This window comes from Homo sapiens, chromosome 7, assembly GCF_000001405.40.
Source record: "Homo sapiens chromosome 7, GRCh38.p14 Primary Assembly".
Taxonomy (NCBI): domain Eukaryota; kingdom Metazoa; phylum Chordata; class Mammalia; order Primates; family Hominidae; genus Homo; species Homo sapiens.
Genome location: NC_000007.14, coordinates 108,551,931 through 108,568,625, shown reverse-complemented (window position 1 = coordinate 108,568,625; position 16,695 = coordinate 108,551,931). Strand labels below are relative to the sequence as shown.

Genomic DNA, 16,695 nt, shown 5'->3' with positions numbered 1-16,695 from the left:
ACCTGGTTCAGATTTTCAGCAGTTGTTTTGTGCTCATTTTACTTTAGACCTGAAGGACTTATTCATTAATGATTCGGCTGCTTTCCAGTATTTTAATTAATGGAAAAAAAATTGATAACCCCACCAGGCGCGGTGGCTCACGCCTGTAATCCCAGCACTTTGGGAGGCTGAGGCGGGCAGATCACCTGAGGTCGGCAGTCTGAGACCAGCCTGACCAACATGGAGAAACCCCGTCTGTACTAAAAATACAAAATTAGCTGCGCGTGGCGGCGCATGCCTGTGATCTCAGCTGCTCGGGAGGCTGAGGCAGGTGAATCGCTTGAACCTGGGAGGTGGAGGTTGAGGTGAGCCGAGATCACACCATTGCACCACAGCCTGAGCAACAAGAGCGAAACTCCGTCTCAAAAGAAAAAAAAACTGATAACCCCAAGTAATTCACAATCCATGGCAATATTTCCAGGATTGTCTCCCTTGAAGCCCAGCCTCAAGATGCAAAGAGATGTTTGGGGGAGGAAAACAATCTAATCCACTTTCAGTTTATAGGGAAATACTACTGTACTAATGGCTCTATCTCTGAGAATGTTTGTAGCAAAAGATCATGTTGAACTTGATTTAACCCCGTATTTCCCAGATTTATTTGGCCTTTGATATTGGAGATGGGGTATAACCCCACACTGAAATTTTTAACTAAACTTTGTGGACCTTACAGTAACTTTTTAGGAAGGAAAAAATAATGCAAGTGAATTGTAAAGATTTTTTTCACTGAAAATGTGAATTTAGTAAAAGTTGTATTATTTCTAGGGTTTTTAAAAAATTTTCTTGTGTAATCCACAAAATAAAAATTGAATTAGTTTTATTCTCCAGTAGCGTCAAACTTGAATTGAATTTGCTCATGTTAACACTACAGCAAACTGTAGTTTAAATGTATATGAATTTGGGAATTCAGTTAATATAGTGTCCAGTTTGTACTGTGATTATCTTATGCCTTTTGGGGAATTACATAAGACAATGAAACAAAATTATCAAATGAATTGAACCAATATAAAGACATAATTTATTCAGGAAACATGATCAAGATTTCTTAGAGATTTACCTATTGAAGCAATACAATCCAGTAAACAATAAGGATATTCACAAAGTTTTTTTTAATGAGTTGATAACTTAGCATATAGGTACAATGGAAATAATTTGCAAACAGCATCCATATACATGAATTTACAGTAAAAAGCATTATTGTAAAAGGCCTATTCTCATTTCAGTTGTAACAAAAGAAATGAATTTACCAATGGCCAGAAGAAGTCAGGTCCTCTAAAAGAAAATTTGTCTGCCTTTAAAATTCCTTTTCTGGTTATGCTTGTCATACTTACAACCTAATATTTGTAAAGTTAAAATATTTTTAAAACATGATTAATATTGCTTCTGTGGTTGGAATTTCCAAAGGTAGTTTATCTGATTTTTTTCCGTATGAGGATATCAGGATTAAAAGTTATATCTTACAGAGTACCCAGACTTTCCATGGCATCTTAAAAAGTTACCAGAATTTAGGGGGAAAAAATGATGCTACTACAAAACATAAGCTAAATGATTGGGATTGCGGGAAGGGAGTGTATAACAGCTACATTTTATATGAGAAACCTTATATTGTTACTATTTTTAAAAACAGGAAATTATGTGGTGTCTTGGACTCTGTTCTTGGAAAAGTACCAAATGGAATATAAACCATTTTCAAATATTGTTTTGTATACCTTGACCCAAACCTTTTTAGATTGATAGGAAAAATTTTCTATCAAATTCTGCCATACACTGTAATGTTAGCACCAACTTTAAATCCAGGTTATTGTCAGGTACAGGAACAAAATGTATACAGCGCTGTCTTGCCATTTGTATTTGATTTGTTTCATATAAAATATCTGAGACTGTCCCTTTTAACATGTTCCATTCTTTTCTTCTATCAGTTTCTCCTTCAGAACTTGAAATTTGGAGTTCCCAGTTCATTGGTTATAGAAGTGTAGTACTATTAGACTAGATTACTTATAGATAGAATTAAAGATGATGCTAGTAAAGAGAATATTTTCAGTACTTTTTCAGCTAAATCATTTGTTTGAAATAACATCTTATTTTTTAAATATTAAATAAGATTGTAAAGCTTAATACTGCCTTGAATTATAGACAACAAGCCATTTGACATGTGGTGGTATTATGAAATACATTTGAATAGGAATTTATAATTTATACAAACCTTTTTTCTAGTTCTAGGCAAACTGTACAGCAATATAAAAATGGAACATAATCCATAGAAAATACAAATAGATTTTGTCCTTTATAGGAACACATATATTTTACTTGAAGGGACTCTGAATTATGTTCAGCTCTTATCAGATAAGAGCCTTGGCTACATGTCTTACATCTTAGGCCTCTTACTGCAGAGATGATAATGGTACTAGTTGTCATGAAGATGCTCTTATTTGGTAGGGATGGTTGCCTTCCTCTTGTAGTACTTACTTGATGCATAGGTTACCCAGATATATAGGGTGGGAATTTGGCAAAATTGTAAAAATATAGCAAAGTTTTTCCTTTTTTCTTCTTTTTTTTTTAAATTCCAGATTTCCTCTACATGACAAAGAAAGACTGGAAAAGTGGTTAAAGAATATGAAGCGAGATTCATGGGTTCCCAGTAAATACCAGTTTCTATGTAGTGACCATTTTACTCCTGACTCTCTTGACATCAGATGGGGTATTCGATATTTAAAACAAACTGCAGTTCCAACAATATTTTCTTTGCCTGAAGACAATCAGGTATTGCAGTATGGGAGAGGGGTAATGCTGAGCAGAGTGGCAGATTTCAGGGTGGCAGGTGATCAGGTGGGAGAGTAAGAGGGAACTATAACTTGGGTAAACAGATACTTGGAAAAAAGGGAGCACTAATTTGTGCTTTTACTAAAAGTGATAATTAAAAAAAATTAAACTCATGAAGCACAGCTTAAGAGAAGCAAGAGATATACATTATTAAGTTATTAACACAAGTTCATGAGTTTTATTTTTTATACTTTTTTTGTTTGAGACAAGGTCTCATTCTGTCACCCTGGCTAGAGTGCAGTGGTGCGATCTCAGCTCACTGCAACCTCTGCCTCCTGGGTTCAAGCCATTCTCTTGCCTCAGCCTCCTGAGTAGCTGGGATTACAGGCGCCTGCCACCACGCCCGGCTAATTTTTGTATTTTTAGTAGGGATGGGGGTTTCACCATGTTAGCCAGGCTGGTCTTGAACTCCTGACCTCAGTTGATCTGCCTGCCTTGGCCTCCCAATATACTAGTCTTTTGAATGATCTGAAATGTTTCTGCCGTATATTGAATGGGATTAATGCTTTTTAGAAAATACTTTAAGGTATATATACTCTGAGCTTTTTTTTAACTAAATAAATTTGCTTGGCCAGTGTACTACTCAATATTATAATTAAATAGCACTAGCATAATAAGCCAATAAAAGTCATCTTTTTCAGAACATGAAAATATTATTTTCTAGGGAAAAGACCCTTCTAAAAAAAAATCCCAGAAGAAAAACTTGGAAGATGAGAAAGAAGTATGCCCAAAAGCCAAGTCAGAAGAATCATTTGTATTAAATGAGACAAAGAAAAATATAGTTAACACAGATGTGCCCCATCAACATCCAGAATTACTTCATTCATCTTCCTTGGTAAAGCCACCAGCTCCCAAAACAGGAAGTATACAAAATAACATGTTAACTCTTAATCTAGTTAAACAACATACTGGGAAACCAGAATCTACCTTGGAAACATCAGTTAACCAAGATACAGGTAGAGGTGGTTTTCACACATGTTTTGAGAATCTAAATTCTACAACTATTACTTTGACAACTTCAAATTCAGAAAGTATTCATCAATCTTTGGAAACTCAAGAAGTTCTTGAAGTAACTACCAGTCATCTTGCTAATCCAAACTTTACAAGTAATTCCATGGAAATAAAGTCAGCACAGGAAAATCCATTCTTATTCAGCACAATTAATCAAACAGTTGAAGAATTAAACACAAATAAAGAATCTGTTATTGCCATTTTTGTACCTGCTGAAAATTCTAAACCCTCAGTTAATTCTTTTATATCTGCACAAAAAGAAACCACGGAAATGGAAGACACAGACATTGAAGACTCCTTGTATAAGGATGTAGACTATGGGACAGAAGTTTTACAAATCGAACATTCTTACTGCAGACAAGATATAAATAAGGAACATCTTTGGCAGAAAGTCTCTAAGCTACATTCAAAGATAACTCTTCTAGAGTTAAAAGAGCAACAAACTCTAGGTAGATTGAAGTCTTTGGAAGCTCTTATAAGGCAGCTAAAGCAGGAAAACTGGCTATCTGAAGAAAACGTCAAGATTATAGAAAACCATTTTACAACATATGAAGTCACTATGATATAGAATAACTAGGTTTTAAAACTATGGCTGTTAAATAAGCTTTTTCCAGCCAAACCAAACTACATGTAAAGTGAACTGTTTCCTGTATAAAGTTCTCATCTTAATGAACCTATGAGAGTGTTGTAAAGTTATGAACTGTATCCTATTCTTGTAATACTTATTTAAGAAAAACCAGAGAGTTGGGCTGGAGAGAAAAGCAGTTTTATTACTTGATAATTTTCCAAATTAAAATTTAGCACATAGAAGGATTCAGTTATAACATGAGAAAACAAAGAAGTGTTCAAAGAGCACAGACTAGAAGTCAGGTTCAGGAATCAGTCCTGGTTCTACCACTGGCATATGACTTGGGCAAGTTACTTATGATTGTGCCTCAGTCCCTAATTTGTAAAATAAGCACTTACTGGATTTGTAATTGGTTATTTATAGTCCCTTCCCTTTTTATTAAGATAATTCTATTAGAACACATTTTCTGTAAGATAATATATACGTAATACTAGAAGTTGGCTAGAATTTGATGATATTAACCATGTATTATTTTCAGTATTTATTGAATTCTGTGGTCTTTGACCTTTTGGCTATAGTTACATATTACAGTTATATTATCTGTAATAGAAAGGAAGATAAACTTTTTTTTTTTTTTTTTTTTTTTTTTTTTTGAGATGGAGTCTCACTCTGTAACCCAGGCTGGAGTGCAGTGGCCTGATCTTGGCTCACTGCAGCCTCTGCCTCCCGGGTTCAAGTGATTCTTCTGCCTCAGCTTCCCGAGTAGCTGGGATTATAGGCACACACCACCACATCCAGCTTATTTTTGTATTTTTAGTAGAAACGGGGTTTCACCATGTTGGCCGGGCTGGCCTCGAACTCCTGACCCCAGGTGATCCACCTACCTTGGCCTCCCAAAGTGCTGGGATTACAGGCGTGAGCCACCGCGCCTGGCCAAGATAGAACTTTTATAATTTTATTCCAGTTGAACTAAACTAAGGAACCACCCATTAGCCCAGTTCTTAGGAGAGGTACTTCAAACTTGAAAGAATATGTATTTCGGTAACTTATATGTGGCTAACCATCAAATACATAGTCATCTAAGCTAAACTTTCTGTATTTATACAGTTAAACTTATAAACCAAAAATTTTAATGAGGTTAATTTTAAATATATTTTAGAAATTACAGTTTGTATCTGTTTCTTAGTAGGTGTGGCCTTTAAAATATGTGCTTATTCATTGTTAAATTCCAGAATAATAGAGTAATACTTAATACTGTACATTCCCACTTACGTATATTTTATTAAAATTTATAAGCAAGAAATTATACATAAGTGGTCATGATCTTAGGGAGACAAAGAATTTCTCTTAGAAAAGAGAAGTAATGGTAATGTAAATAAAAATACTGTTTATATTCACATGATTTTAAGAAAACTGTAAAAGCAAAGATTTTGTAGTAATGACACAAATGTAACAAATAGATGTTTTCTTAAAATTGGCAGTCAGTATAATTATGTTTCTGCCTATGATGTTGAGGAAGTTGTATCAGTCTGATTCTTAGTTTTTTCATCTGTTAAGTAGAACGTACTATTACTTACCTTAAAGAGTGGCTTTGAGAATTTTGTAAGGAACAAACATGTTTTTGGTTCTGGAATATAGGAGGTGCTCAATAAAAGTTGACTCTGACTGGCAAATAATATTGTTTTGTAAATGCATGATGATTATTTTTGGCCATATTTGACTTAGTTTCATTAGGCTAATATTAATTGGTACTATATGAAAGTGAGTCAACTAATTATAAAAGATTAGAAATGTCTTAGGTGACGATGGGGGAAAAACTTAAAATTTTTGCATAAATTATGGGGAGATGATAGAGTTATTACAGTGTTATTAAGTATTCCTATGTTGCATTTTGCAAATACTTAATTTAATACAGATGAAAATAATCTTGAGTCACAATAAAGTAATGATATGTTAAGTTTCAACAGTGTACATTGTAGTAATTTTCTGAAAGTTACAGGTTCCTCAGAAAAAATTTAAACTAGCTTTATTTCTTTAATAAATTATAAGTAAAAGTTGACTATCTGAAAATCCAAAATGCTCCAAAATCTGAAACTTTTTGAGCACAAACATGACACGCAAAGGAAATGCTCACTAGGGCATTTCAGTCTTCAGATTTTTGAATTGGGGATGCTCAGCTGTTAAGTGTACTGCAGATATTTCAAAATCTGAAAAACAGTACCCTTTCTGTATTCACGTCCATCCTTACTCTGACTTTCTGGACCATAATAATCATTCTCCGGTAAAACTTTGAACAACATTGCTCTGTTGCCTATTGTTCTCACTTGCCTAAATTACATTCCTGGTTGAATTCAAATATCTCTTTGCCTTTTCTCTTCCTACATCAGAAGAGCCGGTAGAATAGAAAAAAATCACGATTGGACAGACTTGATTATAAATTCATGACCACAAATCAGATGAGCCCAGCAGTGTTACTGTATTTTTCTAGTAAGTTCATAACCCCACACTCAAATTCTGTCTCTCACTCCTCCCTTCCTTTCCTGCCTCTCCTTCCCGCTTGCCCAAGATGAGGATCTCATCACATGCTTCATTTAGAAAATCAAAACAATCATTAGCTCATCCTGCCAGTTGCAGTGGCTCATGCCTGTTACCCCAGCACTTTGGGAGGACCAGGTAGACAGATTGCTTGAACTTTGGAGTTAAAGACTAGCCTAGCCAACATGGTGAAACCCTGTCTCTAGAAAAAAAAAAAAAAAAAAATCAGCCAGGCATGGTGGTGCGTGCCTGTATTCCCAGCTACTCAGGAGTCTGAGGTGGGAGGATTGCTTGAGCTCAGGAGGTAGAGCCTACAATGGGCTGAGATCGTGCCACTGCATTCCAGCCTGGGCATCAAAGTGAGACCGTGTCTTTAAAAAAAAAAAATGGTATGTTGTTTCCAAATTTAGAATGTGTTTCATTCTCATCACTACCATGGCACATGCCTAAGGTTTCAGTCAGTGACCAAAGCAACATTTTAATGCAAGAGAGGATTTGAGTTAGGGTTCTTTTGGTTGCAAGGAACAGAAACTCAATCCAGCTCAAGAAAGGAAACAGGGAAGAACAGAACTGAAAGGCTCAAACCAGGGTCTCGGGAATCCAAACACAGAAGTTGCGGTACAGGCAGGCACAGTGGCTCACACCTGTAATCTCAACGCTCTGGGGGCCCAAAGCAGGAGGATCACCTGAGGCCAAGAGTTTGAGACCAGCCTGGGCAACATAGATCCCATCTCTACAAAAAATTTAAAAATTAGCTCGGCATGGTAGTCGGTGCTTTTAGTCCTAGCTACTCAGGAGGCTGAAGTGGGAGGATCTCTTGAGCCTAGGTCAAGGCTGCAGTGAGCCATGACTGCGCCACTGCACGCCAGCCTGGGCAACAGAGTGAGACCCTGTCACAAAAGAAAAAAAGTTGCAGTACAGTTGTGCCCCATAGTAATTGGTTCTGGAAGACATCTGGAAAAGAGGCTCCCTCATGTCAACTGCCTCCTGAATGGCATCTGTTTCAAACTCTCTCTCCCAGCCAAACCTTATATCTCAGTTTACAAATAGGCCCCTAAGTTTCTCTACATTATGAATCTTCAGCTTCCTCTGTTAATTAGCTCAGTCATTCGGTTTTTAAATTCCAGATTTCCAAAAGAGGGATCCAACTGGACCTTGCATATATTTTTAAGCCAGTGGGTCTGTAGTAAACCTGTGAGTTGGCATCCTTTGGGTCCTGTCTTATAGGCTGCAGTTGCATCCAGTGAATATGATGGGGAAGGGTCACATGGTATAGAACAGACTCATCTACCTCAGTAAAGCCTTGAAAAGGAGCAGTTTCCCTTTGAAAAAGAGGCTGTGGGTGAGCAAGCAGGTAACTGCTTTAGTTCTGTGCTGCTGTAAAATATGAACTATATGAGAATGACATCATTTGTACATCATTCTCTCCTTTGCAAACAAGGTCCTTCATGCCTTGCCTTGAGCTTGTAACTAAAGAAGTGGCCTACTAAGCCATCAGAGAAAGTAAGAACCAGGCAGTACTGTACAAGACAACATGTAATCTTATAAGAGAGTAGGTTTAAAGCTAATATGAACTAATAAATAGTTTTAACATAATAAATTTAGAGCTATTCACATCCCCAAACAATTCTGAAATAACCTGAAGATATTAAGATCAAACTATAAATATTTAAAGTTTTAATAAAAGAAGCTCTAAAATAGTGATATGGTTTGGCTTTGTGTCCCCACCTAAATTTCATCTCAAATTGTAATCCCCAGGTGTTGAGGGAGGGACCTGGTGGGAGCTGATTGGATCATGGGGGCAGTTTTCCCCATGCTGTTCTCATGATCATGAGTTCTCATGAGATCTGATGATTTTTATAAGGGGCTCTTCCACCTACTCTCGCTCACTCTCTCTCTCTCCTGCCACCATGTAAAATGTGCCAGCTTCCCCTTATGCTATGATTGTAAGTTTCCTGAGGCCTCCCTAGCCATGCAGAACTGTGAGCCAATTATACCTCTTTTCCTTTATAAATTACTCAGTCTCAGGTATTTGTTTATAGCAGTGTAAGAATGAACTAATACAAATAGTAATCTCACTTCATTCACAATCTCTTTTGTAGAAAACTTAAGGAGAAGGAACAATACATCATTAATCTGTTAGCACATCAGTTGTTTGGTTCCAAGGTTCAGGTTCTTAATGGTATTTGTGGCATGTATACGAATAGTATGCAATGTCTAATTAAATTCAGTGACCCTTTGTTCTCCTGCATCACTAGTGAATGTATTCACTTATTTCCTCTCTCCATAGAGACTACACCTTCGTCTAATAAGAGAAAACACTCTCGTATTTTCATGCTAGAAAGAAGTCATTTTCTAAAGCAAACATTCCTATTCAGACTTTCATTCTGTCTTTGACTCCGTCTAGCTCCCATACCCTATGTCAAGGGCCTCCAGGCTGCCCTGCATCCCAGAGCTTTTGGCTGTGATATTGACTCAATCTCATGTATCTATGCAGTAACTTTTACCAAAGTGTTAGCTTTTCCATCCATGACTGTATTTATCTGTGTTTTGTTCCCCCTTTAAGCATTGTGATACAGCACTGTACTTTTGTCAGCATTACATACATTTCAGAAGGGCTTGATAGCATACATTCAGGTAATAGAAACATGATGAATATTTCACTATAGCAAATGGAACTGACAGATCTTAAATGTATTTTAAATGTTCTTATAGATGTCTTTTAAACTATATTTTAACATAAGCAAGCAAAATATGTTGAGTGAATTGTTAACATGTTATTCCCTTTACTTTTTAATAACATGTTATATCTAAGAGGATAAAAATATCAAAACTACTTTGTATTTCATGATAACCACACAGATATGCTATATCAATGAACACACATTTAGATATTTCTGTATATTTGAAATAGATATTACAATAATATTTAAAAGAAAATAAAAGATTAAAAAATTAGAGGTCAGGCACGGTGGCTCAAGCCTGTTATTCCAACACTTTGGGAGGCCGAGGCTGGCGGATCACGAGATCAGGAGTTCAAGACCAGCCTGACCAACACGGTGAAACCTCATCTCTACTAAAAATACAAATATTAGCCAGGTGTGGTGGCGCGTGCCTGTAATCCTAGATACTCAGGAGGCTGAGGCAGCAGAATTGCTTGAACCCAGGAGGCGGAGGTTGCACTGAGCCGAGATTGCGCCACTGCACTCCAGCCTGGGTGACAGAGCAAGACTCTGTCTAAATATATATATATATATATATATATATATATATACATACACACACACATATACATATATACACATAAAACTATCTACAAGTGGCCCTTAAAAGGGCAGGAAAGTTTTATTGATTAATAAAGTGGATTTTTCAAGATTTGCTAGGTTGAAAATGACATGGGTTTTGCCCTTAAAAGAACTTAAATATGATTCTCATTTTAGGCATTTGATGTGATTTGACTCTGACTCCACCCAAATCTCATGCCAAATTGTAATCCCCATGTGTTGGAGGAAGGGGGGTCTAGTGGGACATGATTGGATCATGGGGGAAATTTCCCCTTTCTATTCTCGTGGTAGTGAATGAGTTTCCACGAGATGTGGTTGTTTACAAATGTGTAGCACTTGCTGCTTCACTTACTCCCACTCCACCAAGTGAAGAAGGTGCTTGCTTCCTTTTTGCCTTTCCACCATTATTGTAAGTTTCCTGAGGCCTTCCCAACTATGCTTCCTGTACAGCCCATGGAACTGTGAGACAATTAAACCTCTTTTCTTCAGAAATTAACCAGTCTTAGGTAGTTATTTATAGCAGTGTGAGAACAGACTAATACAGAAAATTGGTACCAGGAGTGGGATACTGCTATCAAGATATGTGAAAATGTAGAAGCAGTTTTGGAACCGGGTAAGGAGCAAAGGTTGGAACAATTTGGAGGGCTCAGATGAAGATAGGAAAATGAGGGAAAGTTTAGAACTTCCTAGAGACTTGTTGAATGGTTGTGATCAAAATGCTGATAGTGATATGGACAGTGAAGTCCAGGCTGAGGAGGTCTCAGATGGAGATGGGGAATTTATTGGGAACTGGAATAAAGGTCACTCTTGCTATGCTTTAGCAAAGAGACTGGTGGCATTGTGCCCCTGCTCTAGGGATCTGTCGACCTTTGAAGTCAAGAGAGATGGGTTAGTGTATCTGGCAGAAGAAATTTCTAAGTAGCAAAGCATTCAAAATGTGACCTGGCTGCTTCTAACAGCATATACTTATATGCATGAACAAAGAGATTACCTGAAACTAGAACTTACATTTAAAGGGAAGCAGATAAACCTTGGGAAAATTTGCAGCCTGGACATGCGGTAGAAAAGAAAAACCCATTTTCTGGGGAGGAATAAAAGGCTGCAGAAATCTGCATACGTGAAGAAGAACCAAATGCTAATAGCCAAGACAATGGGGAAAAGGCTTCCAGGGCATTTCAGACACCTTTGTGGCAGCCCCTCCCATCACAGGCCTGGAGGCCCAGGACAGAAAAATGGTTTCATGGGACAGGCCCACAGCCCTGGGACATGGCACCCTGCATCCTAGCTGCTCCAGCTCCAGCTGTGGCTAAAAGGGGCCAAAGCACAGCTCAGGCTATTGCTTCAGAGGGTGCAAGCCCCAAACCTTGGCAGCTTCCATGTGGTGTTGGGACTGTGGGTGTGCAGAAGGCAAGAGTTGAGGTTTGGAAGCCTCCACCTAGATTTCAGAGTATGTATGGAAATGCCTGGATGTCCAGGCAGAAGTCTGCTGCAGGGGCAGAGCCCTCATGGAGAACCTCTACTAAGGCAGCACACAGTGAAAATGTGGAGTTGGAGCCCCCACACAGAGTCCCTACTGGGACACTGCCTAGTGGAGCTGTGGGAAGAGGGCCACTGTCCTCTAGACCCCAGAATGGTAGATACACTGACAGCTTCCCCCATGCACCTGGAAAAGCTCCAAGCACTCAACTCCAGCCCATGAAAGCAGCTGTGGGTGCTTTACCCTGTAGAGTCACAGGGGAAGAGCTGCCCGAGGCCTTGGGAGCCCACCCCTTGCATCAGCATGCCTTGGATATGAGACATGGAGTCAAAAGAGATTGTTTCAGAGCTTTGACATTTAATGACTGCCCTGCTTGGTTTTGGACTTGCATGGAGCTTGTAGCCCTTTTGTTTGGGCCAGTTTATCCCTTTTGGAATGGGAGCATTTACCCAATGCCTGTACCCCCACTGTAGCTTGGAAATAAATGACTTGTTTTTGATTCATTTTTACAGACTCATAGGCAGAAGGTTCTTGACTTATCTCAGATGAGACTTTGAACTTGGACTTTTGAGTTAATGCTGGAATGAGTTACGACTTAGGGGAACTGTTGGGAAGGCATGATTGTGTCTTGAAATGTGAGAAGACCATGAGATTTGGGAGGGGCAAGGGGCAGAATGATATGGTTTGGCTCTTTGTCCCCACCCAAGTCTAATCTCAAATTGTAATCCCCATGTGTGAGAGGAGGGGCCTGGTGGGAGGTGATTGAATCATGGGGTGGACTTTCCTCTTGCTGTTCTCATGATAGTGAATGAGTTTTCACGAGATCTGGTTGTTTAAAGTGTGTAGCACTTCCTCCTTTCTCTCCTGCCCTGCCATCTGAAGAAGGTGCTTGGGCCAAGCACAGTGGCCCATGCCTGTAATCCCAGCACTTTGGGAGGCTGAGGCAGGTGCATTACCTGAGGTCAGGAGTTCGAGACCAGCCTGGCCAACATGGTGAAACCCCATCTCTACAAAAAGTACAAAAATTAGCCAGGCATGGTGGTGCTCGCCTGTAATCCCAACTACTCAGGAGCCTGAGGCAGAAGAATTGCTTGAACCTGGGAGGTGGAGGTTGCAGTGAGCCAAGGTCATGCCACTGCACTCCAGCATGGGTGACAGAGTGAGATTCTGTCTCAAAAAAAAAAAAAAAAAAGAAAAAGGTGCTTGCTTCCCCTTCACCTTTCCACCATCATTGTAGGCTTCCTGAGGCCTCCTCAACCATGCTTCCTATACAGACTGTGGAACTGTGAGTCAATTAAACTTCTTTTATTCAGAAATTACCCAGTCTCAGGTAGTTCTTTATAACAGCATGAACACAGACTAATACAACATTAAAGTTTATGCTGTCTTTTTCCTTTGAAAGAAGGTGTTAAAAATCTGTTGTTTGGGGCCGGGCACAATGGCTCACGCCTGCAATCCCAGCACTTTGGGAGGCTGAGGTGGGTGCATCGCTTGAGGTCAGGAGTTTGAAACCAGCCTGGCCAACACAGTGAAACCCCTCCTCTACTAAAAATACAAAAAAAATTAACTGGGCATGGTGGCGGGCACCTGTAAGCCCAGCTACTTGGGAGGCTGAGGCAGGAGGATTGCTTTAACCCAGGAGGCAGAGGTTTCAGTGAGCCAAGATTGCACCATTGCACTCCCCCAGGGCAACAAAAGCAAAACTCTGTCTCAAAAAAAAAAAAAATGTTGTTTGTAAGTAATCAATGGGTTTGACCATTTTTAATGGTCACTAATTAGCATATTGGCTCTCTAACCTAGGTAGGTATATTTTAACAGTGCAAAAGCCAGTATTATATATAACAACAATCAAATAGGCTCTATAATGAAAATTTTTAAGTGATTAATGACTATCTGTGGATTAGAGGTGTAAATAAGGCCTGGAAAATTTATGGCTAAACTAAACACAAAATGGATTTTGATCATGTTTGAAATCTGGAATATTCAGTACAATTTATTGTTTTTAAAATCTCTCTATTTCTCTTTGTTTTGATAGATACAGCTAAAACGTAAAAGGAAGGTGTTGAGAAGGGGGACATACACCAGAAACAGACTACAGTAGTGAAGAATAAGGAAGTTAGGTATGAAAATAAAGAGGAAAAGATGATTTCTCTGAGTCACAAATGAAAAAGTGACAGTACACTTCAGAGAAATAGACTAGATGGATGGATGGATGATGCAGGTAAATGAGGCTACTTGAAGATCTATATATAATATAGCACTGAAATTGCTTACCATAGTCATTTCTTTCCTCTCTGGATACTAGTAATGTAAAAAACTTAACATATTAAAGTGTTATTAATTTCCATGATATTTTTGACAGTATTTTTAATCTAATTTCTCTAGCTAGAGGTTGACCTGGAATTGCCTAAAATGAGTCTGCACTAAGTTTAAACTCTCTAATCTGTCAGTTACGTCAGGGCTTCCACCCTTTATCTTGGTGTCTCCTATCTTACCCACATCACTCTCAATGCAGCTCATCTTGAAAAATCTACTCTAATCAATGAAGACTTTCTATCCTTTTTGCATGCATTACTTCCCAATATTTTATTAAGAGAAAAGCATATAAAGATCACTGTAAATACACATCACATGTTGTTTTCATCCAATTTATGCTGCTGTAACAAAATACCTGAGACTGGGTAATTTATAAAGAATAGAAAGTTTTTTGTTTTTTGTTTTTTGTTTTCACAGTTCTAGAGGCTAGAAAGTCCAAGATGAAGGCACTGGCATCTGATAGGACTTTCTTGCTGCCTCATTCTATGGCAGAATGGCAAAGAGAGGGAAAGTTAGGGGGCCAAACTCACCCTTTTATAATGAATCTACTCTTGAAATAACATCACTAATCCATTCATTCTGCCCTTATTGGGGATTGTTTCCAATACATGCTCTTTGAAGGACACATTCAAAATATAGTATATGTCATGGTTGAAAAGTCTGCAAATTCTAAGTCTCTTTGCCATCAATCACATGAGTATTTCTATTTCATGGTCACTCAGTGGCAACCAGAGAAAGGGCAGTTAGAGGTTGATGGACAACAGGAATTCTGCAGGGCTAGGAAGAGTATGGAGCTGCCATTGGGAAATATGCCCTCTTGTTTTTAGGGCAGAAGCTTCTGGCAATCCTCAGCAAGGTTCTCTGCCACTACTACGAGCAGGAGCTTACCTCTGTCAAATTACCCTATGTCTGAGAGCAGCACCCCTGGATTTTATTCTTGACTGAGTTTTCAGGAACTGGGACCTATGTTTTTGGTATGGGCAAAAGGAAACTGAAGTTCTTACAATTCAGTCACAATTCAATCACAGGAAACAAAGGTTCAAAATTTCAAATCCATGGAAGGAGAAGTGGAGTTCCAAAGAGTAAGTACAAATAAAGGTTCCTGGACAGAATTAGGCAAAATATAGTTGGGAGCACTAGAAGTGCAATTACGGTTATGCTGGTTTATGGAGGGCCTTCAGCTAAGTTAAGAACTAGAGACAGAGCTGTAGGACAGAGTTAGTAAGAGCAGCATCAGCCAGGTACACTGGCTCAGTGCCTGTAATGCCAGCACTTTGGGAGGCCAAGGCAAGAGGATCACTTGAGGCCAGGAGTTTGAGACCAGCCTGGGCAACATAGCGAGACCCTGTCTATTAAAAAAAAAAAATTTAAGAGAGCAGCATCGAGGGCCTCAACTGAAGACATTGTAATTTAGTAGACCTAGGAAAAAATGTTGCTGCATTTTACTAAGTGTCAGGTAATACTATTGTGTGTGATTCTTGGACCACATTTTAAGAAACAGAGCCTTAGAAAATTAGTGGCTCCATTCCTGATGGGAATGCCTCTTCATTTATTTCTACTAGTTCTATTTTTTATGCCACTGCTAGTTTTTCATTCTTCACCAACTCTTCTGAAATACAGAAATCTATGTACAAGCTAGAATATAATAAAGTACTATTTTATGTATGAAGAGTTTATGTAATTTGCCATTTGAGATAGCAAATGCAACAAATATATTTAGCTCTTCTCCCACCTCATATCCTACTATAACAACGGTAAAGAGATTTTTTTTTTTCCCCTGAGACAGAGTCTCGCTCTCTCACCCAGGCTGGAGTGCAATAGCGTGACCTCGGCTCACTGCAACCTCTGCCTCCCGGGTTCAAGCAATTCTCCTGCCTCAGCCTCCCGAGTAGCTGGGATTACAGGTGTGCATCACAACACCTGGCTAATTTTTGTATTTTTAGTAGAGACAGCGTTTCACCATGTTGGCCAGGCTGGTCTCGAACTCCTGACCTCAGGTGATCCATGCCCCTTGGTCTCCCAAAGTGTTGGGATTACAGGCGTGAGCCACCATGCCCAGCCTAAGAGATACTTTTAAAAGGTAAAACCCACGAGGGCAAAGTGAAAGAGGAAGCAAACACAACAACATTTTGGAAGCTGGAAAGTAGATGTATGAGTAGTAGCTGTCTTTGTGGTCCAGAGATTCCTGTCAACATGAAGGAAAGCCAACAAGTAAACCCAGTTATTATTACAGAACCCAAAAGCCTTAGTAATTGAAATCAACAGATACCTCTGGAATTGGGGAGTGTGGGGTGCTTAAGGCATGTAAAAAAAAAGAGGATTGGTTAAAGTTTATTAAGAAGCGGTAGTCACCCTACACAGTTTGGTAGCTGTTTCGCTCCTTACCTGGCAAAAGATTGGAAGTTTATTCTCTAAAGAGGTTAAAACAGAGGGTCTCTAGCTGGGCAGGGGCATTATACTGAAAACAGAGGTTAAGTGAAAGTGTATATACTGAATGGTGAGCTCCAACCCCCACCCCACCTAGCCTCTATCACATACTCAGTTTCAGTTCCCAGATCTCTAGCAACCAAGTGTATACCCTCCAGGCATAAGACTGAAGGTGTATTCTCTGGAGAATTTGACAAGCCCCAAGAAAAAAGAACAAAAAT

The 16,695-nt window shown here is 38.8% G+C and overlaps 1 protein-coding gene across 7 annotated transcripts in view; it reads left to right on the top strand.

The window, feature by feature from the left end:
- The window catches only part of THAP5 (THAP domain containing 5), a 28,010-nt gene that overhangs the window by 1,143 nt on the left and 10,172 nt on the right, over window positions 1–16,695 (top strand). For 2 of the 7 annotated variants that reach the window (NM_001287599.1, NM_001287598.1), the window contains exons 2-3: window positions 2,604–2,674; window positions 3,521–6,482. In NM_001287599.1, the coding sequence (NP_001274528.1) occupies window positions 3,734–4,435 (702 nt within the window). In that variant the 5' untranslated portion in view covers window positions 2,604–2,674; window positions 3,521–3,733 and the 3' untranslated portion in view covers window positions 4,436–6,482. Of the gene's footprint in view, window positions 1–2,603; window positions 2,797–3,520; window positions 6,495–13,766; window positions 14,082–16,695 lie in introns of those variants that run through there. The other 5 variants (XR_007059987.1, XM_047419934.1, NM_001130475.3 and 2 more) reach the window with 5 other exon arrangements.